At 39.7% G+C, this 26,515-nt stretch overlaps 2 protein-coding genes and 1 pseudogene across 2 annotated transcripts in view, besides 1 other annotated feature; all 3 read left to right on the forward strand.

Moving 5' to 3' along the window:
* On the forward strand, positions 1,534–16,433 carry IDO1 (indoleamine 2,3-dioxygenase 1). Its single transcript, NM_002164.6, has 10 exons — positions 1,534–1,652; positions 5,518–5,613; positions 5,731–5,850; positions 6,458–6,576; positions 7,743–7,757; positions 10,195–10,294; positions 11,112–11,229; positions 12,364–12,415; positions 12,866–13,014; positions 15,473–16,433. Exons 1-10 carry the CDS (start codon positions 1,566–1,568, stop codon positions 15,826–15,828), a joined length of 1,212 nt encoding a protein of 403 aa, NP_002155.1. The 5' UTR covers positions 1,534–1,565; the 3' UTR covers positions 15,829–16,433.
* Positions 17,673–17,967: an enhancer, noted in NCBI's record as "tiled region #12355; HepG2 Activating non-DNase unmatched - State 23:Low". NCBI's record gives its function as "activates a minimal TATA promoter and a strong SV40 promoter by Sharpr-MPRA in HepG2 cells {active_cell/tissue: HepG2}" and the evidence as "EXISTENCE:reporter gene assay evidence [ECO:0000049][PMID:27701403]".
* Positions 22,294–26,515, forward strand: part of IDO2 (indoleamine 2,3-dioxygenase 2) — an 81,742-nt gene continuing 77,520 nt past the window's right edge. The window contains exon 1 of the mRNA NM_194294.5: positions 22,294–22,861. The gene's annotated coding sequence lies outside the window, so the exon portion shown is untranslated. The remainder of the gene's footprint in view (positions 22,862–26,515) is intronic.
* Positions 22,491–25,030, forward strand: LOC100420480 (polo like kinase 4 pseudogene; annotated as a pseudogene).

A 26,515-nucleotide genomic window follows, 5' to 3' on the forward strand; every position in this document is an offset into this window, starting at 1 on the left:
GTGATCCGCCCTCCTCAGCTTCCCAAAGTGCTGGGATTACAGGCGTGAGCCACCACACCGGGGGGTAGGATAGATTTAGTGAGATGACTGGATAAACGGAATCAAGAAAAAGCTTTGTCAAAAACTTATGCTTCTTAAAAACTTAATCCTGGGACAGAATCATCTAAAACGTTGTTCCATGTCTTCACTTTGACTCACCCATAAAAACTTCAAGTACAAAGAATGAAAAATAACCACATATTTTCTAATGCTCAATATTTTATTTGTAGTGTTGTTTTCTATATAGATATGATAGGTCTTCATGATTTTTTGTTTGTTTTCCTTGAACTGATTCCCAAAGTATTAGCCTCATGAATCATGTAGTCATAAGAAACACAGTCATTGTATTCTCTTTGCTGTATAATTTTGGTTTCAGTTTTCCTTACATTTCCTATTCAAGGAACATTTTCCTGTAAAATGACAGGTTGAAGAAAACAGCCATAATTTAGTAGAGAATAGCGCGAGAGCTATTCTAGACTGTAACGAAAGCCATATGCTATCACAATTTAATTTATTTCAAGTACTAATAAGCTGATGACAAAACAGCGATGTCTTTTAGTTTACTCACACGAACTATTTCTCTTTTCTCCTTTTGATCATCTAGAGGAACGGGCAACTTGGTTTCTTCTTTAGCTTCCTTGTTCTCATTAAGATTGAACAATGCCTCTAAAGTGAACCACAGACTTGCATGCAAGCTGAAAACCTTTACCAAATGCAGTCTTAATTTGTACTTTGAGAAAAACATTTTCAAGGTATTTTATCCTTTTCTCCAACTTTTGACATATTACAAAGTACCCAAATATGCCAGACTGTTGCCTCATCAGCCCCCCGCAGTCAGGTACAGTTAGATGCAAGGCAATCTTCCTAAAAGTTACTTATTAGAGATGTGAGAAGGGCAAATGCTATCATTGGAAAAACTGACAAAAGTCCCAATAGGAAAAATAAGGAAGTGGAGAGTTACTATGTTTCTAATTTTTCATGTGCTTCTATTTTTTTCCTACTTCAGAGCCATTGACTAATAGTTGAGTATAACACAGGTTGTGTTTCCGGGCTGCTGAAACATGACACTAATATTTTCAAAGAACTGTGGAAGCCTAAAAGGAAGCCAATGAGAAATAACTAAATGAGAGTTTAGGACTGCAGCCTTCATTTTCATTCAAAGATTTAAAAGTTTCCATAAAGTAAAATGTTCTTCTCCGGCCACCTGTTTTCATAGTTCTGTGTTTTCCTTCAGGCCTTTCTGGCTTCCTATATGGCAGTAAGAAAATGATGTGCTTAATGATTACAAATTTCATATGGAATACGAACTTTCAGTTTGTACATATGATGCACAGAGATGCTTTTGTGGTTTTATTGGTTTTCATATTACAAACAAAGAAACTAGAAAATGAAACCATTCCAAAAGTGGAAGTAATTTCTCACTGCCCCTGTGATAAACTGTGGTCACTGGCTGTGGCAGCAACTATTATAAGATGCTCTGAAAACTCTTCAGACACTGAGGGGCACCAGAGGAGCAGACTACAAGAATGGCACACGCTATGGAAAACTCCTGGACAATCAGTAAAGAGTACCATATTGATGAAGAAGTGGGCTTTGCTCTGCCAAATCCACAGGTAAGAGAAGGCAGTAAAATGTGGGAAAATGCATTCTTCTTCTCATTCCTTACCTGGCCAAGTTAACTTCTACTGAACAACTGTGGTTCAGTAACTTCTAGTAAACAAACACATAAAGCTGTGTAAAAATTAGAGAGCTGTAATAACTGCATCTCACTTAATTTGTCTTACATTTTCTCCCTAGAAATGGAGTCATCTATGCATTTCTTACTTACCTAACATGGATACGGAGAGTGGTGAGAAAGGAAACTATAGAAAGTGTATCAGCTTTACATAAGAATTATATAGTAAAATACAAACAATGAGGTTATTACAGTTGTATTTTGAGAAAAGGTGTTTTGCAAAAGCCAGAGTTTTAAATGAGCCATGAGTCAAACAGAAATCCCTTTCTCTTAGGGATATAACTTAAATTATGCAAAACATGTGTTTCTAATTTGATGGGGTTTATGAGATTGCACATCAAGCACCTTCCATGTTATATTATCATTGCTTGTTATTTACTGAGCGTAAGATTCAAGTGAGAGTCTGAACTACCTTTTTTCTTGTTTGCAAGTCTTACCTATAAAGTACAAGGTATGTGGAAAAAAGGTTTGCCTTAAAAACTACATTTTCTAGTCTGTCTTCTAACGAATGCTATGTAAACCAATTTATCATCAATATTTTAATTATCAAATACAGCATTTTTCTAAGCAATTTACAAATTAACCCTTTCCATTCTCATAGCCATCCCAAAAGTTATGTATGTTATTTATTTATTATTATTATTATTATTTTGAGATGGAGTCTCGCTCTGTCACCTGGGCTGGAGTGCAGTGGCACGATCTCAGCTCACTGCAACCTCTGCCTCCTAGGTTCAAGCGATTCTCCTGCCTCAGCCTCCCAAGTAGCTGGGATTATAGGCACCTGCCACCACACCCAGCTACTTTTTTGTATTTTTAGTAGAGACGGGGTTTCACCATGTTGGCCAGGCTGGTCTCGAACTCCTGACCTCAGGTGATCCACCGATCTTGGCCTCCCAAAGTGCTAGGATTACAGGCGTGAGCCACTGCACCCGGCCAGAAACGTATGTTATTATCCTCATGTTCCTAATGAGAAGTATAAGGCATGCAGAATGTAATTATCAAACTATGTAGCTAGCAAGTGCCAGAGGCCAGTATGAGCCTAAGCAGCCTGTCTCCAGAGTCTATGATCTTAAAACCATTATTCCACACTGCCTCTCTTAAGAAGGGATAATAAGACATTGCTTATTTTCTTTCTTTCAATCTTCAGTTTAACAAGGTACATGGGATTCCAGGAGAAGATTTCTATGAACATGTTATAATAATTCTGTAGACGAGTGTATTTTTGTTTGTAGCTCAAACAGTTACAGTCCACATACTAGAGAGCACCTTTAAACACAGCAAATGTTTAGTCAGAGATTTCAACCTAACTGTGCTTAGAAATGAAATCCTGTAAACAATTTGGTGATACTGGCAAATTTAAAGCATCTACCTCCTTCCAATCTAATTTTCCTCTTCAGATTGTTAATTAAAGAAAATGAAAAGTATACTTTAATTTTATTGCCAAAAGCACTAGTTTGCTTTATTCATGCAAAACAATAATACTCAAACTTGCTATTTGCCCGCAGATCTACAAAAATGCTGGGACTGGATGATTTCAAGGATGTACTTATCAATGGTACAATAAAACCATCTTTTTCAGAAACTACTAAACTTTGTATCATGGGTTTTGTTTCTCAGATATTCGATTCTCCTTAAAAATGCAACAACTGTGATAATTATGAATACCTGTAGAACAGATTCCAAGGAGTAAAGCAAAACCCCAAAAGAAAACAAACGAAACTCTTCCTTAGCTACTTAAAAAAAAGATTCTCGGCTGGGGACGGGTGGCTCACGCCTGTAATCCCAGCACTTTGGGAGACGGAGGCGGGTGGATCATGAGGTCAGGAGTTCGAGACCAGCCTGGCCAATGTGGTGAAACCCCGTCTCTACTAAAAAAATACAAAAATTCGCAGGGCATAGTGGCATACACCTGTAATCCTCGCTACTCAGGAGGCTGAGGCAGGAGAATCGCTTGAACCTGGGAGTCGGAGGTTGCAGTGAGCTGAGATCACGCCACCGCACTCCAGCCTGGGTGACAGAGCGAGACTCCATCTCAGGAAATAATAATAATAATAGTAATTCTGACAAGGTGCAGTGGCTTACACCTGTAATCCCAGCACTTTGGGAGGCTAAGGTGGGTGGATCACTTGAGGTCAGGAGTTTGAGACCAGCCTGGCCAACATGGTGAAACCCCTGACTCTACTAAAAATGCAAAAAAAAATTACCCAGCATGTTGGTGTGCCCGTAGTCCCAGCTACTTGAGAGGCTAAGACAGGAGAATTGTTTGAACCTGGGAGGCGGAGGTTACAGTGAACTGAGATTGCGCCACTGCACTCCAGCCTGGGTGACAGAGTGAGGCCCTGTCTGAAAACAATAACAATAATAACAATTCTGCTAGCTGAGATGCTGCAGAAGCTAGATTCACTGTCCCGGAAACATGAAAAAAAATTATTGGTTACTTTTATTTCTTCACTGAAGATCTTTCCTAGAAATTATGAACCAAAAAATGTCTGTTTTATCTCTCATAATCTATCTGCTTCTTAGTCCAAAGGAAAATAATATGTTTTCTGATTCCATATAGATAGATACAAGGCACAATCTCTAATCTAGCAGAATTTGAATGATCCTCAGTATGATTCATTTTTAATTTATATTATACCATTTAGGGATCCTCTGAACCAGAGCATATTACTGATTAAATTTTATACTTGTTGAAAGTGCTGTCAAATAAAATGATCATCATTGTGCAGAACAAAAAAGTATTCTGTTATTTGGAGAAAATCACAACAACCAAAAAAATAAGATGTACTAGATGGTGAAACATAGAATAAAAACAACAAAAATACATTTATTACATTTCTTTTGAAAGTTGGAAACTTCACAATAAACTCGATATACAAAAATCGTTATGTAAACTGTATAAGCCTGGGTTTCCTTATTTATGATACAGAGATAACTTCTTGGGCCATTACAATAATTAAATATGTATCTTTTATATATATGAAATTATCGAGCAGAGTGCCTAGTCCACTATTGACATTTAAAACATCTCATTTTCCTTCCATTCAAAGAACTTAAAATCTAGCCAAGATAAACCAAAGTAGGCCAGGCGCAGTGGCTCATGCCTGTAATCCCAGCACTTTGGGAGGCCGAGGCAGGCAGATCACCTGAGGTTAGGAGGTCGAGACCAACTTGGCCAACATGGCAAAACCCCATCTCTACTAAAAATACAAAAATTAGCCAGGCATGGTGGCTCATGCCTGTAATCCCAGCTACTTGGGAGGCTGAGGCAGGAGAATTGCTTGAACCCAGGAGACAGAAGTTGTAGTGAGCCAAGATTGCGCCACTGCACTCCAGCCTGGGCAACAGAGTGAGACTCCAATTCAAAAAAGAAAAGAAAAGAAAAACCAAAGCAGCAGATAATAATTGTTTAACAATTTGAAAAGGCATAATCCATAGAATTTATAGTGGAGGAGATTGGTTTCAAATAGAGTAGTCAGGAGGATTTTAGTGAAACCTTTGAGGTGAACTTTGAAAAGCTGCAAATGGCAGTGTTTGAAGAGAGAGGAAGAGGTGGAACACAGAGAGGGTCTTCAGCCCTGCGTGTGCAGATGACAAGACAGAGGCTGGTGTTTCCAGACAGGTAAGCCATATGCCAGGGCAACATTGCACAGAATGGATGTGAAGGCAAGGCATACTATCAGTGGGAAGCCAAATCTACAATAACTGCTACTACTAAATAAAGATCTTTTTTTTTTTTCAAGGAAAATCTACCTGATTTTTATAATGACTGGATGTTCATTGCTAAACATCTGCCTGATCTCATAGAGTCTGGCCAGCTTCGAGAAAGAGTTGAGAAGGTTTGACATATGTATTACATTTGTCTTCTTGTATAGCTTCTTAACATTGTTAACTTGGTTTTGAAGCATAAAACATTACTGAGATTGATTTGAGTCAATTGCTCCATTTGTTTTCAGTTAAACATGCTCAGCATTGATCATCTCACAGACCACAAGTCACAGCGCCTTGCACGTCTAGTTCTGGGATGCATCACCATGGCATATGTGTGGGGCAAAGGTCATGGAGATGTCCGTAAGGTTTGGAGATTTTCTCAGATTTCTTATGCTATGTGACAGATTTTCATCTAATTTACATTTAACTTTCCAAAAATTTTCTAAAAGCATTATAACTGCATCATGCAAAGTTTAGATAACACGACAAAATGATAAAGAAAATATGCCCTGGCTTGACATGTCCACTGTTATCATTATTATATTTTTAGTCTTTTACTTCATTTTTCATCCTGTATTTTATCTGGCAACCCTAATTACATAAAACTAATACAGACTGCAATATCTAACCTTTAAAACACACATGGGCCTCCCAGCACTTTGAGAGGCCAAGGCCGGAGGATCACCTGAGGTCAGGAGTTCAAGACCAACTTGGCTAACATAGTGAAACCCCATCTCTACTAAAAATACAAAAAATAGCCAGGCATGGTGGCAGGTGCCTATAATCCCAGCTACTCGGGAGGCTGAGGTGGGAGAATCACTTGAACCTGGGAGGCAGAGGTTGCAGTGAGCCGAGATCCTGCCACTGCGCTCCAGCCTGGGGGACAGGAGCAAGACTCCATCTCAAAAAAAAAAAAAAAAAAAAAAACAACAACAACAACAACAAAAAACCTAACTACTGTATTTTAATCAGGTCTTGCCAAGAAATATTGCTGTTCCTTACTGCCAACTCTCCAAGAAACTGGAACTGCCTCCTATTTTGGTTTATGCAGACTGTGTCTTGGCAAACTGGAAGAAAAAGGATCCTAATAAGTATGTAAACAGTGATAACAACAGGAATTTTTGGAGTGTGTGCCGATTAAATAAAACAGGGGTTGTTCATTGGCTTAATTTTGGGCAGCGCAGCTTTCCTCTCAGCTGGGTATGGTTCCTCTCAGTTCCTCGGCTGGGTACGGTTTCTTGGACTGCTGTGTCTACCACTACAAATGTACACATATGTGACAGGTGTATAGTTAACACAGTAAAATGCACAAATCTTAAGTGTTCAGCTTGAATTTAACTATTATATACATACATACACCCACCATTCTCAGTAAGATACAGAATTTTTTATCACCTCAGAAAATTTCTTTGTGCCTCTTTCAATTCCCTTTCCTGCCACAGACAAATATATTTTTATTTGCCTTATCAAAAATTAGATGATTTTTGTTATTGGGTTTCATATCAATGAAACCACAGAGTATAGACTCTTGTGTCTGGCTTCTTTTGATGAGCATGTCTTTGAGATTCTATTAATTTAATTTTTTAGCAGCCAATTGTGGTTAAGAGTCAACACATCTTTAATTACAGGCAGCAATGACTGGTTTCTCAGAGCAGTCTGCTCAGGATATAGGTGATTTTTACCCATTTAGGCATAAGATCTGCTACAATAAAGGAAAGGGAGAACCAAAGCCCACGTCTCTGGGTGTGTGCCTGTAGAAAAATATTCTGCAAATGGGAATATCATAAAATGAAAGGATTCAATCTAGAAAGTTTCTTCTTATTAAAAATTAGTTTTTTTAAAAAAAAATTCACCGGGAATGGTGGCGTATGTCTGTGGTCCCAGCTACACAGGGAGTTAAGGCAGGAGGATCACTTCAGCCCAAGAAGTTGAGGCTGCAGTGAGCCATGTTCGTGCCACTGCACACCAGCCTGGGTGACAGAATGAGACCCTGTCTCAAAAAAATAAAAATAAAACAACTAGTTTTGACTGTCCATGTGTGTTCCTTGCATATTTAATTATTTCATTCATTTGTAAGTTATTAAGTTAAATGTAATGCCTACTGAAGAAACATTTTAATAAGCTTTTTCTTTTTACCTATGTCTTACCTCTGATAGTAGCATTCAATCAAATAGCAACAACTCATCATTATTTGATGTTAAATTGGTTTTCTTTCTCTCTTCCAATTGGTCCATTGCTTCATGGCTGCTTTCATAAGGCCCCTGACTTATGAGTAAGTATCTGATTCTTGTTTGATTCTAAGAATTATTTGTTACTTATAGTTGAATGTAGGTTTATCAATAGACTCCAAATGCATTTTTAAATGATTAATTGAATTCAGCCAAAAAATAATTTAAGTGACTATTTAGAGAACAAATAATCTCAGTCTTTAATTGTATCTATGATTGTGTTACAACTATGTCTATCTGATATTATAGCTATAGATATATACAAGAATACTACTCAAATACATCTGTAGGAAATTAATATGCAAACATACAAAATGCACATACATCTGTGTATCTATGATTTAATAACTCCCATGTCCATAACTAGTTACCGGTGTCAATAAGTAACCATATACCAACTTGTTCTTTTTGACCCAATCCTTACTACTTTTGACCTATAATATATACTAAACATAGGCTAAGAGATGGAAAACCTGGGCTGGGTGCATGGCTCACGCCTGTAATCCCTGCACTTTGGGATGCCGAGGCAGGTGGATCACCTGAGGTCAGGAGTTCAAGACCAGCCTGGGCAACATGGTGAAACCTCGTCTCTACTAAAAATACAAAAAATTAGCCGGGCCTGGTGGCGGGCGCCTGTAATCTCAGCTACTCAGGAGGCTGAGGCAGGAGAATCAATTGAACCCAGGAGGTGGAGGTTGCAGTGAGCGGAAATCACGCCACTGCATTCCAGCCTGGGTGACAGAACAAGACTCCATCTCAAAAAAAAAAAAAAGATGGAAAAACTAAGGTAAATATCATCAGTATAAACCCACCTTGGTGAAGCTAGACTAATGAAGAGGAAAGGCAGTATATGAAAATTATGTAAATTGCGATATGATAAAGATAAGGCATAAGAAGTTAAAGTATTGGGATCCCTAACCAAATAAAAGGAGTGATGGGGGAACCCTTGAAGCAAGTTATTTGAGGAATTAGCTAGAGGAAAAAGGTAAGAGTATTCATAGCGGAAGAAACAGCAAAAGTGAGACCTTGAAGTGACAAACATCTTGGTGCGTTATCAAAGCTGAAGGATGGCTAATGTCACTGATAATAAGTGATAAAAATAACAGTGTGAGAAAAAGATTAATTTTTTTTTTTAAAGATCGCTGGGAAAAGTGGGTGAATCACCTGAGGTCAGGCATTCGAGACCAGCCTGGCCAACATAGTGAAAACCCTCCTCTTCTGAAAATGCAAAAATTAGCGGGGCATGGTGGCACATGCCTGTAATCTCAGCTACTCGGGAGACTGAAGCAGGAGAATAGCTTGAACCCAGGAGGCAGATGTGGCAGTGAGACGAGATTGTGCCATTGCACTCCAGCCTGGGCGACAGAGTAAGACCCCATCTCAAAAAATTAAAATAAAAATAAATAAAGATTATGTAGGATTTTATTAGCTATGATAAGGAGTTAAAACAGTATCTTAAGGGAGAAACTGGAAGGTTTTTAAAAACGAGGATGACATCAGCAGTCAGTCTCACTTTACAGATGAGAACACCAAGGCAGACGGTGTCATATCTTGCTCAAGGTCACACAGCAAGTAAGTTGCAGAGATGGTCTGGCTTCAGATACCATGAATTTAACCACCACAAAACTCATAGATATACAGATAGTAAGACTATGTTTGCACCAACGCCCAAACTTCAATTAAAAAGAAAAACAGGGTCTAATCAGTTATTTGAATTTCGCAGTCAATTCCTTTGTAAAGCATATAAACCACTGAGAAATTGAATTAGGCTCACAAATTAAAATGTGAATATGAATATAATTATTTAAACAAAAGACTACCTCTTAAAACTCTACCTCGCAGATATCCTGTGAGAAGTTGACGGGATAATAGAAACAGAACTAGTTTGGGAATTTCTAATTCTGAGTGTTTTTTGTTGTTGTTGTTTTGTTTTGTTTATTTGTTTTCTGAGACGAGTCTCGCTCTTGTCGCCCAGGCTGGAGTGCAATGGAGTGATCTTGGCTCACTGCAACCTCCGCCTCCTGTGTTCAAGTGATTCTCCTGCCTCAGCCTCCCGAGTAGCTGGGATTACAGGCGCCCATCACCATGCCCACCTAATTTTTGTATTCTTAGTAGAGACGGGGTTTCACCACATTGGCCAGGCTGGTCTCAAACTCCTGACCTCAGGTGATCCACCCGCCTTGGCCTCCTAAAGTGCCGGAATTACAGATACAGATGTGAACTACCATGCCCGGCCCTAGTTCTGAGTTCTAATATGAAACTTTAGGTCTCAGTTTAACCTACTTACTATTAATTATATGATCTTGGACAATGGGCCTAAAAAAGGAGTCTTAATATTCCCAACTACATAATGGAGATAGTAAGGCCTGCCACACCTCTCTCATAAAATTATGTTGAAACTAAAATAGCATAAATAAAAATGTCAAAAAATATCCCATAATTTTTGCTAAACTTCTTGCCTTCCTTATCCAATTTCCTCAGGAACATGGACGTTTTGTTCTCATTTCGTGATGGAGACTGCAGTAAAGGATTCTTCCTGGTCTCTCTATTGGTGGAAATAGCAGCTGCTTCTGCAATCAAAGTACGTCTATCCTCACTTCAAAATTTATATGTCAATTTACGTAAGCAGAGCAATCACTTCGGAGCCTAAACTATACTAAGCATGAGTTAACTTTATCCTTAACAAGTACAACATGGGATCATTTAATTGGGGGTAAAGGATCAATTATTTATTTTTGTGTATTACCTAAAATATAAAATCTCAGAGCCATATACTTAAAATCCAACTTGAAACCTCTGTAGGAGATAAAAATTTTCAATAAAATCTGGCTTTGGAACTATGATACAGTGTCATAAATTCAATAGTTTTGATTATCAAAAATAGAAATGAAACATATACAACTATATAAATATCTTTAAATTAAATGCTATGTGAATAAAAACAAATCCAAGCTTCTATAAATGTAAGGAAATTAGTCAAATAGAGTGTCCAGCCCAGGAAAGAAATGTAAAAATCCCAAATTTAATTTATGGATTAAGACGGGGGAATTTGGCAGGGCACAGTGGCTCACACCTGTAATCCCAGCACTTTGGGAGGCTGAAGTGGGCGGATCACTTGAAGTCAGGAGTTCGAGACCAGCCTGGCCAACATGGCGAAACCCCGTCTCTACTAAAAATATAAAAATTAGCCGGGCATGGTGGTGGGCACCTGTAGTCCCAGCTACTCAGGAGGCTGAGGCAGGAGAATGGCGTGAACCCGGGAGGCAGAGCTTGCAGTGAGCTGAGATCGCGCCACTGCACCCCAGCCTGGACAACTGAGCGAGACTCCGTCTCAAAAAAAAAAAAAAAAAAGAAAGAAAGAAAACCTTAAATGTTTGTGTTTTGTTTGTTTGTTTTAGGTAATTCCTACTGTATTCAAGGCAATGCAAATGCAAGAACGGGACACTTTGCTAAAGGCGCTGTTGGAAATAGCTTCTTGCTTGGAGAAAGCCCTTCAAGTGTTTCACCAAATCCACGGCAAGTGTTGTGTGCAGTGCAATAGTCTAGGCTGACAAGTCAAATGTTCCAGGTGTAGAATAGTTGAAAAAAGGGAAGCAAAAAGCAACTATCACTTAGTATGTTTTCACTTTAGGTATTTTATCTTACTAAACCATTCCACTTTCTATGTGGTAGGTTTCATTATCTCCATTTTATAAGTAAAGTCATCTAAATTCAGAAAGACAGGGTAAATGACTTCAGATTCCACAGGCGGTGAAGCCAGAGTTCCAAGCTGGGTCTATTTAACACTAAGGAACTTCCTTGCCTCCCGCTAAAAACCTTAGAGAAACTTTCCACATGGGAGGGTGGTTTTAAGTCCCGAAAAAAAAAAAATAGCTTCTGCTTGATAAGAACTCCTTCCTAATTCTGTTTTTTTACAAATTAAGAAACAATACAGAAAAGTCATTGAGGTCAAAAGTTGTTGCAAAATTAACAGCTAAAAAACTACCCACAAAAAAACACACAAAAAAGTGCATAAGCAGTAATTTGCAATAGGAAATCTGCCCTACTGAACAGACTCAACAAATACTTGATTGTTTCTCTCTGGGTTTTGAGTTATTGCTGTTTAGTCCTTGGCAAGAAGCTAGATTTTCAAATCAAGTAGGGTAGGAGACTGAGTGCGGTGGCTCATATGTGTAGTTTCCAGCTACTTGGGAGGCTGAGGTGGGAAGATTGCTTGAGCCCAGGAGTTGGGGCTGCAGTGAGCTATGATCAATACATTCCAGCCTGAGTGATGAAGTGAGACCCTGTCTCCAAACAATTTTTAAAAATTTTAAAAATAGAGAGGGAAATCTAGTTTCTAGGGTTTTGTTTTGGTTTGTTTTGATTTGTTTTTTTTTGTCTTTGGTTTGTTTCTTTATGTAAACAGTTTACTTGTTACGTCAGTAAGCACGTAAAGTAAAGTAGTGCTAAATAAATAGATACAGTTTAATGGGCTTCCTGGAAGAGGGTAGGAAAGTGAATGCTTATCTGCAGGGGCTTTGTTTAGCATAGACTGACCTAATGCCTTTTCCTGCAGCCTGTGCCAAAATCCATTATCAGTTGTACACAACACCTTGATTTCCCTGTATACCTCTGATGCTGCTTAATTAAACATATTCCATCTTTTTACAGATCATGTGAACCCAAAAGCATTTTTCAGTGTTCTTCGCATATATTTGTCTGGGTATGTAGTCTTATGTTTGAATTTGTTTGCTCTCACTTAACAAAGAACACCACCAAATTCTCTTGGTTGGTCCCTAATATCCATTGGGTTTGGCTAACAATTTACATCCAAAAATTCACATGGTAGAAAAATACTAGACTGTTCTGTTATCACTTGGCCAGGAATGTACTGGAGTGGGGGACAGGAAAGCTAGTTATTTTAAAAAGAGTGGTCTGTGCTAGTACAAAGGTAAGATTCCATTCCTAGAATAGTTATGCCAAATCTGCTCAGGATTATATTATTTACTATTCTCATGCTTGAAAATGAGCAGGGGCAAGGGGGTATGAAAAAAGGATCATGAAATCCATCTCTTGTCACCTTCTGTTCAGCACTAGTGCAAGATTTGGTACCTGAAAATTAGCAATTAACCTAAAGAATGATTTTTCTTTTTTTCTTTCTTTCCTCTGATAGCTGGAAAGGCAACCCCCAGCTATCAGACGGTCTGGTGTATGAAGGGTTCTGGGAAGACCCAAAGGAGTTTGCAGGGGGCAGTGCAGGCCAAAGCAGCGTCTTTCAGTGCTTTGACGTCCTGCTGGGCATCCAGCAGACTGCTGGTGGAGGTGAGTGGAAAATAACAAGAAATAATTATCTCTTATGTGAATACAATAGTATTTGGATATCTACAAAGCACCTTCCCATCAGCATCTTATCTGAGCTTATCTGATAGTTTTAGCAGAATCAGGCAAGTAGGGATTTGGTTGCCATGATCCCATTTTAAAAATGAAGATGCAGAAACTTAATGAGAGTCAGTGACAGGTTCCTTGTGAACCAGCTAGAAAGTGGCAGAGCTGGCCAGGTGCGGTGACTCAAGCCTGTAATCCTAGCACTTCGGGAGACCTAGGCAGGTGGATCACCTGAGGTCAGGAGTTTGAGACCAGCCTGACCAACATGGTGAAACCCGGTCTCTACTAAAAATACAAAAACTAGCTGAGTGTGGTGGTGGGTGCCTCTAATCCCAGCTACTCGGGAGACTGAGGCAGGAGAATCGCCTGAACCCCACAGGCAGAGGTTGCAGTGAGCCAAGATCGTGCTACTGTACTCCAGCCTGGGCAAAAGAGCAAAACTCCATCTCAAAATAAAAATAAAAAATAAAAAGCCAGGTGCAGTCGCTCACGCCTGTAATCCTAGCACTTTGGGAGGCCGAGGCGGGCGGATCACAAGATCAGGAGATCGAGACCATCCTGGCTAACACGGTGAAACCCTGTCTCTACTAAAAATACAAAAAAGTAGCTGGGCATGGTGGCGGGTGCCTGTAGTCCCAGCTACTCGGGAGACTGAGGCAGGAGAATGGCGTGAACCCAGGAGGCGGAGCTTGCAGTGAACCGATATGGCGCCACTGCACTCCAGCCTAGGCAAGAGTGCGAGACTCCATCTCAAAAAAAATTAATAAATAAAAACAAAAAGAAAAATAAAATAAAATAAATTGGCAGAGCTTTCCTCACACCCAAGTTCCATCTTGAAATCTGAACATGTCTATAAAGACTGGTTGACTCCGGTGAAGCCAATATCACATGCTCTGAAAATGTATGATCAGACTCAGAAAGAGACACTCACCTGCAAATGAGACAGGGCTGTTAGTGGGGAGATAAAGACCTCAGTGACAAGCAGAGTCTGGGCCCTGCTCTTGTTCAGCTGTCCCGTGGCCCCAGCCACCCAGAGCAATGCCTGCACCAAAGTTTAAAGGTGAGCCACATTCATTGTATGCCTTCTAGGGGCTTAGCTGGAGGGGAGGAATAAGCTCCAAGAAGAACTTCTTTTTAATTTTCTCTGTTTTGTTAAACTTCTGTTTAACAGTCAAAGGGGAAAGCATCGGGCTGGGTAAAAACATGAGTTTTTCTTAATTTGAGCACTCATTTTTAAAATTTTTTTATCATATTTAACTTTTTTATTTTAGATTCAGGGGATACATGTGCAGGCTTATTACACAGGTATAATGGGTGATGCTGATGTTTGGGCTTCTAATGATCCCCTCACCCAAGTATAGAACATAGTGCCCAATAGGTAGTTTTTCAACCTTTGCTTTCCTTCCTCCCTCCCTCCCCTATTTGAAATCCTCACTGTCTATTGTTCCTATCTTTGTGTCCATGTGTACTCAATATTTAACTCCCACTTATCGGTGAGAACATGTGGTATTTGGTTTTCTGTTTCTGCATTATTTCACTTAGGCTAACTTAAGCTAATGGCCTCCAGCTGCATCCATGTTGCTGTGAAGCGCTTGATTTCATTCTTTTTCATGGCTGTGTAGTATTCCATGGTGTACATGTACCACATTTTCTTTGTCCCATCTACCATTGATGGGCACCTGGGTTCATTCCATGTCTTTGCTGTTGTTGAACACTCATTTAAACACAATCTCTTAAACTCTCTTAAGAATCAGTCATAATCTGTCAAATGCAGATTATATATGCCCCTTGTCTATACCATCAGCTTCTTACAGTAGAAAAGAGAGAAAGAAAGTGCAAACAAAGGCCAGGCGCGGTGGCTCATGCCTGTAATCCCAGCACTTTGGGAGGCTGAGGCAGGTGGATCATCTGAGGTCAGGAGTTCGAGACCAGCCTGACCAACATGGAGAAACCCTGTCTCTACTAAAAATACAAAATTAGCCGGGCATGGTGGCGCATGCCTGAAATCCCAGCTACTCCGGAGGCTGAGGCAGGAGAATTGCTTGAGCCCGGGAGGCACAGGTTGCGGCGAGCCGAGATCGTGCCACTGCACTCCAGCCTGGCCGACAGAGCGAGACTCTGTCTCAAAAAAAAAAAAAAAAAGCGCAAACAAAAATACTTATTGTGAGAAAATGAGTTTAGCTCATTCAGTTTTCAAAATTAATAATATTTTACAATAATTACGATTGCTAGTAGCAAGACTAATAGCCAAACATTAGCCTTCAAATAGAATGACCTTGACCTCAGTGAATGCTATATTGGTGATCTCCTGCCCACTCTGACCTCACTCTGCCTTTCTCTCCTGGATTGGGGAATGCTGTGACCTCCGTATTTCCTCTTTCTCTTTTTCCTATAGGACATGCTGCTCAGTTCCTCCAGGACATGAGAAGATATATGCCACCAGCTCACAGGAACTTCCTGTGCTCATTAGAGTCAAATCCCTCAGTCCGTGAGTTTGTCCTTTCAAAAGGTGATGCTGGCCTGCGGGAAGCTTATGACGCCTGTGTGAAAGCTCTGGTCTCCCTGAGGAGCTACCATCTGCAAATCGTGACTAAGTACATCCTGATTCCTGCAAGCCAGCAGCCAAAGGAGAATAAGACCTCTGAAGACCCTTCAAAACTGGAAGCCAAAGGAACTGGAGGCACTGATTTAATGAATTTCCTGAAGACTGTAAGAAGTACAACTGAGAAATCCCTTTTGAAGGAAGGTTAATGTAACCCAACAAGAGCACATTTTATCATAGCAGAGACATCTGTATGCATTCCTGTCATTACCCATTGTAACAGAGCCACAAACTAATACTATGCAATGTTTTACCAATAATGCAATACAAAAGACCTCAAAATACCTGTGCATTTCTTGTAGGAAAACAACAAAAGGTAATTATGTGTAATTATACTAGAAGTTTTGTAATCTGTATCTTATCATTGGAATAAAATGACATTCAATAAATAAAAATGCATAAGATATATTCTGTCGGCTGGGCGCGGTGGCTCACGCCTGTAATCCCAGCACTTTGGGAGGCCGAGGCGGGCGGATCACAAGGTCAGGAGATCGAGACCATCTTGGCTAACACGGTGAAACCCCGTCTCTACTAAAAATACAAAAAATTAGCCGGGCGCGGTGGCGGGCACCTGTAGTCCCAGCTACTCGGGAGGCTGAGGCAGGAGAATGGCGTGAACCTGGGAGGCGGAGCTTGCAGTGAGCCAAGATTGTGCCACTGCAATCCGGCCTGGGCTAAAGAGCGGGACTCCGTCTCAAAAAAAAAAAAAAAAAGATATATTCTGTCATAATAAATAAAAATGCATAAGATATAATAAATGTTGCTTCATTTATAACCATAATAAAATATTTATTTAGATGAGACCTACTATAAACTGCTTTCAGCAGGGCTAATAGACTCCTATACTTTCCCTATGTTAATGTGAGACTTTTTCATAATTACCTGTCAACTTGTCTATATTCTTATTACATGATAAGCTTCTTGATGCCAGGGACACTCTGTATTGTTTACCAGATTTATACATCCCAGCTTTTTTTTGTTTGTTTGTTTTTGAGACAGGGTCTCACTCTGTCACCCAGGCTGGAGTGCAGTGGCATGATCTCAGCTCATTGCAGCCCTGACCTCCCAGACCTAAGTGATCCTCCTACCTCAGCCCCCTAAGTAGCTAAGACTACAGCTGTGCACCAACATGCTCAGCCAATTTTTGTATTTTTTGTAGAGACAGGGTCTTGCTATGTTGCCCAGGCTGGTCTTGAACTCCTGAGCTCAAGTTATGTCTGTATCTTATCATTGGAATATATGATAATCCCAGCACTTTGGAAGGCCAAAGTGCTGGGATTATAGCATCCCTCCCAAAGTGCTGGGATGCAGCCAGGTGTGGTGGCTCATGCCTGTAATCCCATGTGATTATGAAAGATATGATTTGGCCTCCCAACGTGCTGGGATTACAGGTGTGAGCCACCGCACCCAGCTGCATCCCAGCTTTTAGAAGACACTTAGCAAATTTATGTTCAATAAATACATAAAAGAATAAATGAATGTATGATAAATTAACCTGGGCTAAAGAGAAGATTCACCTTTGAAATAACACTTCTCCTGAGAGATCCAGATTATTGGGCACTCACATTCTGGCATGTATATATTTAATAATAGAACCCTAAGAAGCTAGAGCCTGAGAGGAATTTAAGAATTATCAAAGCAAAGCTCTTCATTTTAAAGATGGCAACATTGAGGCACAAAAGGGTGAAATAACTTACTGATGGCCACACAATTAGTTGGTTAACAATGGGAGAAAAAAATTTTGATGACTCACGTCTTTGTTCTTTTTGCTCTACTTGGAGTAGACTAGGTTGAAGGAAAAAATAATTTTGGAAGGGAAAGGGGAGGAAATGAAATGACTAGGCAGGAACTCATGAGATTGTAAATGGTCAGCCAGAAATCAAGTTATGTTATAGAAGATGAGAGGAGGGGGCTGGGCGTGGTGGCTCACGCCTATAATCCCAGCACTTTGGGAGGCCGAGGTGGGTGGATCACGAGGTCAGGAGATCGAGACCATCTGGCTAACACGGTGAAACCCCGTCTCTACTAAAAATACAAAAAAAATTAGCCGGACGTGGTGTTGGGCGCCTGTAGTCCCAGCTACTCGGGAGGCTGAGGCAGGAAAATGGCGTCAACCCAGGAGGCAGAGCTTGCAGTGTGAGCGGAGATCACGCCACGGAACTCCAGCCTGGGCGACAGAGCGAGACTTCGTCTCAAAAAAAAAAAAAGATGAGAGGAGGAAAAAGCACCATGGTCTTATGGGTGTGGAATTAGCAAGCACTTTGAAGTTATGAAAACCTGAGTTCTGAGGAGCTCTGAGCTCTTTTAAATACACAGGAATTTAAACGAGTATACCCAAATAGGTTTGAGGAAGGAAATGTAGCCATATATTTCTAAAAACCAAACTTCTAAAAACTATTTTAATATTGTTTCTTAAATACACCGTAATGCAGTGAAATCTTCCTGCTCACAGCAGACTTTCACTAGATTCCATAGAAAATGCACCAAATGTCAACGATAACGGTATTTATCAGGCCGGACACATTTTCTTCTTTATGCTTCTGTCAATGTTTCTGCAATGAGGACATATAATTCTATAATGAAAAAAGTAAATATGCATCATGCCCATGTACCTACCAAATACATATATGTGTGTGCACATGCATGTAAGTTTTGTTTTTCTTTCTTTCTTTTTTTTTTTTTCCCTGAGACAGAGTCTCACTCTGTCACCAAGGCTGGAGTGCAGCGGTGTGATCTGGGCTCACTGCAACCTCCGCCTCCTGGGTTCAAGCAATTCTCCTGCCTCAGCCTCCTGAGTAGCTGGGAATTACAGGCGCCCACCACCAAGCCCAGCTAATTTTTGTATTTTTAGTAGAGACAGGTTTTCACCATGTTGGCTAGGCTGGTCTGAAACTCCTGACCTCAGAAGATCCACCTGTCTTGACCTCCCAAAGTGCTGGGATTACAGGTGTGAGCCACCGTGCGTGGCCTGTGTGTAAGTTTTAAGGGATAACCAGAATGACCATCACATTCTTGGAGTTAAATGTGGTACAGAAATCTCTAACCTGAGAGTCAAGAGACCAGGTCATGGGTTCCATTTGGACATCTTTCAGCTTTGTGACCATTTTATGTCTGCAAAATAAGCATAACAACACTAGCCCTGCCTTATTCACAAGGTTACTGTGAGGCCTGAGTGGAATATGGTGTTGAAGTATTAGGAAGCTATAAAGTACTACTAGCATAGGTAAGTAACTTGCTAAGGATCTTTTTTTTTTTTTCTTTGAGAAGGAGTCTTGCTCTGTCCTCCAGGCTGGAGTGCAATGGTGCGATCTGGGCTCACTGCAACTTCTGCCTCCCAGGTTCCAACAATTCTCCTGCCTTAGCCTCTTGAGTAGCTGAGACTATAGGCACCTGCCACCATGGCCAGCTAATTTGTTGTATTGTTAGTAGAGACGGGGTTTCACCATGTTGGCCAGGCTGGTCTCGTTCTCCTGACCTCAGGTGATCCACCCGCCTCAGCCTCCCAAAGTGCTGTGATTATAGGAGTGGGCCACTGTGCCTGGCCTGCTAAGGATCTTTTATTGGCCTCCTAAGGATCTTTTATTGGCTCCAGGTCAAGATGCTATCTATCTTGTGTTCTCCCACCTGCAGCACTGATGGCCCACAACCCTGGAAAGGCTACACTTCAGGCACATCAGGCATTTCTCTCTTCCAGAGTTGGTTTCACCTAATTAGTATTGACGTGCAGAGAGTCTCTGGTTGCTAAAGAAAGACCCTGTAGTCATGCCTTCTCCTTTAGAACATCACCTTTATTCTGATAATAAGGGAGAGAGGGAAAGGAAGTAAGGAGCATTGTCATAAAAATTGCACCCACTGCTGCCTTGTAGGTGAGAGAGGGACTGACACTGGGCTCCACGTGCTCCTACAGAGGGTGTGAACACTAGCTCCAGAGTCTCTTCTGTGTTTCCACATAATAGAAACCAAAGGCCAGGCATGGTGGCTCACACCTGTAATCGCAGCACTATGGGAGGCTGAAGCGGGTGTATCATGAGGTCAGGAGTTTGAGACCAGCCTGACCAACATGGTGAAAACCTGTCTCTACTAAAATACAAAATTTAGCCACGCATGGTGGCGTGTGCCTGTAATCCCCACGCATGGTGGCGTGTGCCTGTAATCCCAGCTACTCAGGAGGCTAAGGGAGGAGAATCGCTTGAACCTGGGAGGCAGAGGTTGCAGTGAGCCAAGATCGCGCCACTGCACTCCAGCCTGGGTGACAGAGTGAGACTCTATCTCAAAAAAAAAAAAAAAAAAAAAAAATAGAAACCAAGATTCCTGAATTACTCTAATTAAATCATCTCTGGAGTGGGAAAGGCACAACAAAATGCTTGGTATGTTTCATGAGAAGCCCTGCTGCTTCTGCCCACCACTCGCCCGCCCCCATCCCAGGCATTTTCTGCACATCGCAGTGAGTGCTCCTCCAGGGGTAGGGTGGGATCACCAGATGGTGAAGGTGGTATCCTATCACAGGAGATGGTTTTAACGAGATGTTATGTATTTTAAGTAACATGGTTCCTATTTGAATGAAATTAAAGATAATTCTATCCCAGTCTGTGTCATGGGAAAAACAGAAATTCATAGTGGTGGTGGGGCACGCTGGCTCATGCCTATAATCCCTGCACTTTGGGAGGCCGAGGGGGGGCAGATAACTTGAGGTCAGGAGTTCGAGACCAGCCTGGTCAACACGGTGAAACCCTGTCTCTGCTAAAAATACAAAAAGTAGCAGGGAGTGGTGGTGGGTGCCTGTAATCCCAGCTACTCAGGAGGCTGAAGCAGGAGAATCGATTGAACCCAGGAGGCGGAGGTTGTAGTGAGTCAAGATCATCCTACTGCACTCCAGTCTGGCAAACAGAGCAAGACTCCTTCTCAAAAAAAAAAAAAAAAAAAAAAAGAATGAAAGAAAGAAATTCATAGTGGTGTATTTCTTCACATGGTTGTTTTCCATAAGTAAGGATAATTTAGCTTAAAATATGTATCGTTTTCATATCAAGGCTCAAAAAAGTATTCTGTAGCTCTTGCCTCATATAATTCAGTTTTGCATATTAAATGTTGAAGTTATTTATGTATCATTTAATCCTATTTTTTCACTCTACTATATTAAATATAATCTCACAAGGAAATAAGATATATTTTTCTCGGTTCACGCCACTCTGAACTTCTCATGCCCTTTAAACAAGAGCTAGTGCAGTCATGCAGTTGTAATGGTTGGAAATTAAAGTTTGCTCATTTCCACATAATTGTTTTATGTCAATAAACAATAAACAATTGAAAAGTTAGAAGTTCACACAAGCCAAAAATTTTTCATATAAACATACACTTAATGGTTTATAAGATTCTTGCCAAATATGAGACAAAATGGCCCACACAGGCAGAAATTCCATCTCTAGATCCTCTGGGAAACAGCAAACTTATATTTAGAACTCACACCATCAATTACTGCTCCTAATGGTCTTTATATAAGTCATTTAATCTTCAAAGCAATTCTATATATTATTACTCTCCTCATTTTACAGATGCAGAGGCCAAGAAATTTGTTCAAGAATATAGCAAGGAAGAGACAATGCTAGGGTATAAATTTGCATAGTCAGGCTCTAAAGATGAGCTCTTAATTACTATAATATATAGGAGGCAACGTATCCAGCTTCTGTGGGAATACCTCTAGAGAAGGGGATGTCAATAACACATATACAGCTCAACTCCCTTTTGCACAGACACTCACTCTTTCAGTTGCTTGACATTTAAATATCAATAAAAATGTTTTAACTTTCTCTAATCTCAATTAGCATACAGAGACAAGACATCATATTGTGTTTCTTTGGGGGTGATTACCTCTGTAATCGTTAGACTAACAAGAAAATTGTGTGTGATAGAGGCACAAAATAGAAAATGATTCTTTCTGTTTGAAAAGTTGAGGAATGTTTTTTACAGGAGGTAAGTTTGATACTTAACTTTAAAGTTGAATTGATTGGTGTACCTTCATTGAAAATTTTCTCCTGAATGCCCAGCATTAAATAAATAAGCAAACATATAAGTTGCTTGTTGACCTAGCCTCATATATAATGCAAGAAGTAAACATAAACATATAAATGTTGTAAATGAGCATCAGAATCATCTAATATATAGAATCTTCTGGGAGAGCTACTTTTTAAAACTATAAATTAATGATGATAGCTAATAATTACTTAATTCTTTCATATGCCTCTTACTGTCCAAAAAGTGTCATATACATTAATCACTTGATCAAAACAATGAATCTAGAGACAGGTACTATTACTAGTACTTCTTTTTCCTATATGGGAATTGATACCCAATATAGTTCAGTAGTTTTCAAGAGCCACACAGCTATGACAAAGTAAAAGATTGAACCCAGGCAATCTGACTGCAGAATACTTCAAACCGCTACACAATACAATCTCCTCTCTTGGAAAATGTTCTTTTACAAGGGAACTAGGTTCCTTTTGAACTTTGCTATCACAGTATTGGATAATTGACTGCGCAAGTCTCTCCTCAAATTCCCAACTCATGCATGACTTTTTATTACGTTGTAGCAATAAAAGAGCAGTGGAGGTGGGGTGGAAGAAGACTCATTTTTGTCTTCATTACTGCTATGTGGAGCAAGGGCCCAAGCTTTTAAAAACAAGAGCTCAGAGACATGGCCCTGGCCTTGGAAGATGCCCTAGAGACGCTGAGGTGGTTGTACTTTTGCCATAGGAGTGGCAGCCAGAGAACTGAGCCCAATGAATGCAAAGGCTGGTGCCTGGAAATATTGTGACTTTGCCACAGAAAGAAGATGGAGAATTTTAAAGTTGGAAATCTGCCTGGTAAGGGATCATTTGCTGGTGTCTGCAAAGTTGAGTCCATACACACTGGTTTGGAAATTTCAGTCCAGATGATAGTTAAGAAAGCAGTAAGAATACAGAGAGTCCACAATGAGATGAAAATGCACTGCCAGTTGAAACATCCTCCTACACTGGAGCTTTATAAATATTTTAAAGACAAGGATTGGATTAGATTTGACATTAGAAATGTACCATAATACAGAAGGCAATGGACACCTAAAGAACAGAATGAAAACCTTCTTAGGAAATGAAGCTTGACACTTCACCCACCAGGCCACCACAAGAATGTTGCATTTTCATTATTATGGTAAGTACACTGGTAACTTCTTTTCTAACCTCGTATGCATAATGTAAACATCAAGACTGACAATTTGGGGCTAGCAACTCAATTGGAAAATCACTGTTCTCTATTGTAAAATTCCTAATTATGTTTCCCTAGAAATTGCAAAGTGCACATGTACTTGCATTTAATGTTTGGTCCATGGGCTGAATGCTTTGTGCATTACTTTTCTGGTTGTTGTTGTTGTTGTTGTTGTTGTTGTTGTTGTTGTTGTTTTGAGACAGAGTCTCACTCTGTTGCCAGGCTGGAGTGCAGTGGCATGATCTCGGCTCACTGCAACCTCTGCCTCCCAGGTTCAAGCAATTCTTCTGCCACAGCCTTCCAAGTAACTGGGATTACAGGCGCTCACCACCACACCCTGCTAATTTTTGTACTTTTAGTAGAGACGGGGTTTCACCATGTTGGCCAGGCTGGCCTCAAACTCCTGACCTCAAGTGATCCACCTGCTTTGACCTCCCAAAATGCTGGGATTACAGGCATGAGCCACCTTGCCCAGCCTGTGCATTACTTTTGAGGACACATTTGACAATGGCACAGTCAAGAACACCACATAAAGTAGTATTGGCAGATTATGAAATAGCAATTGTTTTGGAAGACAGCAAAACCTGAAGTATTTTCAGACATGTACATTATGAAGTATTATACCTTCTTTAACTATGTGCAAGTTAAAATCAGTCATAACTGAAAATCAAAAGGGCAATAATGAACATACTTCATCCAGAAGAGGTATCCACAAAACTTCTGAAAGAGGTCTTAGTATATCCAGGGATGGAGATATTATTACAATGTATTATCCAAATGATGGAAGTTTTCTCTTGCTGATAGAATGCATCCACCTACTAACATCAGTAAGTACAGGTTTAACAATTTACCAGAAATGTACTGGAGGAAATATGAATATGCTTCCAGATTTATTCTACCTAAAGGATCTGGCTCTATTTTACAAGGTCATCTATTTTACAAGGTACTGTAGATGCATTTTGATGAAAAAAATTACCCTGCTATTGATTTTGAGGTCTGGTATTATGATAGAGCAAAAACTATCCAAAAGAGATTTAATTCAAGTCATTGCAAAATCTTGGAAAATGTGTGAGAAATCTTACACATGGAAAGGAGGAAGTAAAGATGGTAGCTTAAACATGTGTTCCACTGTGAACAATTCTCTGCAAACCCACCCCCAAAAGTCAAGGAGGCTGACAGGCTGAAGAAAGAGGCTGTCAAATCTAGTTTCTCAGAAAAAGAAAAATTAATAGGGACTTAAGAACAGAAGCCATATATCTGCCCTGAGATGAGCTGGTGGATCCTCACACTGTTACCCCCAGACCCAGGGCTTATATACCACAGGGAAAGACAATTGCAGTAATTTGCTTAACGGCAGGATTTACGGCAAGTACATGCTCTTAAGAGTAGATTAAGTAGTAACCTTAGAGGCATTCCTAGAACTGGAGTTAATCAGAAGTCAACACAGTGGATTAGCATCCAAGATGGAGTTGCTTTAGCCTCCACAAAGAGAAAATGAAGATAAATTTGGTCCATGCTAATTAGGGGGTGTTCCATTTGTTTGAAACTGAAATCTATAATTTCCAAAGAAGAAAATAAACGTGGAAGTCGTCCTTCCTTTTTGGTATGCATAGACAATCTGGCAGTGTTAGGCCCCTAAGGCCTTATCACCTCCTCCTTCTGTGGGTCAAACTTTACAGTGAGAGGAAAGACATCTTTTAAAAGAAGAATAATCATGACTAGTTTAATCATGACTAGTTCATCTTCCCTGCAATAGATACCCATATTTAACATACCTATTGTACAAAGAATATGATTGCACAGCTACAACTTTGGGACAAACTCCTTTTCTGCCGCTTTCAATGATCGTCTTCCAAAATCAGAACAGCTTTTGAATTTTATTTTGTGAAAAATGTCGTTTGAGTGACACAGTAAACTCTGTGGAGCTCTGTGGATACAGTTGAATGATGGCTCCCAGTTTATCATGCAGGTGGGATTATATTCCAACAGTTATGTTTCACAGAAAGGCAAAATAACCAGGTACGGAAAAAATGAAAAATTTGCAGCTTACATCAAACAGAAATTGCAGTGTCTTTCATCTCTTTAAAGTTTTCTAATCAAAATTCTAGTTTTCATCAATTAAAACTTTATTTAGGTAGATACATTTAATAAGTAACTTTTTGTTGGCTTAAAGGGAATGAACTTTATGTAATGTAACTGTCTATTTCAGGAAGCTTTTCTATGAGAATTTAAAACTACACCAAAATATCTTCTTTTTTTTTTTTTTGAGACAAGGTGTCACATTGTCTCTCAGGCTGGAGTGCAGTGGTGTGATCCTAGCTCACTGTAGCCTTGAATTCCTGGGCTCAACTGATCCTGCTACCTCAACCCCCCACGTAGCTAGGACTACAGGCCTGCACCACCACATCTGGCTAATTTTTTATATTTTTGTAGAGAAATGGTCTGGCTACGTTGCCCAGGCTGGTCCCAAACTCCTGGCCTCAGGTGATCCTCCTGCGTCAACCTCCCAAAGTGTTGGGATTACAGGTGTGAGCAAACCTGCCATCTCAAAACATGTGTATTTTAATGAGACAACAAAGATCAAGGGAACTTTAGTCCTTACAATGTAATGATCAAAAAAGTGAAATAGATAATCAACATAACATTGCTTGTAGACCATGCAAACAATCTTATTGCATTTGTATATTTGTAATGAACTGTTTTATAATAACAAAATGTAAAATGTGTATTTTATTTGTCCTTTTATTGTTTTCCTACTTCTTAGACATGTTAAGAACTATGGAAAAAGATATGGGAGTTTGTGAAAATTTAAATAATTCATATTTATATTACAAGAAACAGATATTAGAATATGTTTGTTTTATATTTCTTTTGTAGCAGAATTTTCTAGCCAGGCATTGTGGCTTACACCTGTAATTCCAGCACTTTGGGAGGCTGAGGTGGGACAATCACTTAAGCCCAAGAGTTTGAAATCAGTGAGGGCAACATAGTGAGACTCTATCTCTACAAAAAATTCTCTATCTATATCTATATAAAGGAATTTTGTGAGGAAAACTATATATTTTGTATATAAATGAATTTTATCAGGAAATATATCTGTAAATGAATTTTATAAAATATAGCATCACTTTATCCTTGATTTATTTCATTTAATAATTATTTTAAAGTAATATACTAATAAACTCATTTTAAAAACTGCTATGACCATAAAACTATTAGAGATAACATAAGAGAAAATCTAGGTGACCTTGGGTTTGGAGATAACTTTTTATATATAACACCAAAGGCGCAATCAATGAAAAAAAATGACAAGCTCTATATCACATATCAATATTAAAATGTGATCTGTGAAAGGCATCGTCAAGAGAACAAAAAGACAAGCCACAGACTGGGAGAAAATATTTGCAAAAGACATATGTGATAAAAGACAATTATCAAAATATACAAATAATTCTTAAAACTCAAAAATAAGAAAATGAACAACTCAGTTAAATAATGGGCAAAAGATCTCAACAGAAACCCCATCAAAGAAGAAACACAGTGGCAAGCATATGAAAATATGATCTACATCATATGCCATTAGGAAATTGCAAATTAAAA

The sequence above is a fragment of the Homo sapiens genome, chromosome 8 (genome assembly GCF_000001405.40).
Source record: "Homo sapiens chromosome 8, GRCh38.p14 Primary Assembly".
Taxonomy (NCBI): Eukaryota; Metazoa; Chordata; class Mammalia; order Primates; family Hominidae; genus Homo; species Homo sapiens.

Coding starts and splice junctions, on each gene's coding strand:
- IDO1 (NM_002164.6), top strand. CDS start 1,566: ATGGCACACGCTATGGAAAACTCCTGGACAATCAGTAAAGAGTACCAT. Junction 11,230..12,363: donor AGTGTTTCACCAAATCCACG/GCAAGTGTTGTG, acceptor ATCTTTTTACAG/ATCATGTGAACCCAAAAGCA. Junction 12,416..12,865: donor CTTCGCATATATTTGTCTGG/GTATGTAGTCTT, acceptor TTCCTCTGATAG/CTGGAAAGGCAACCCCCAGC.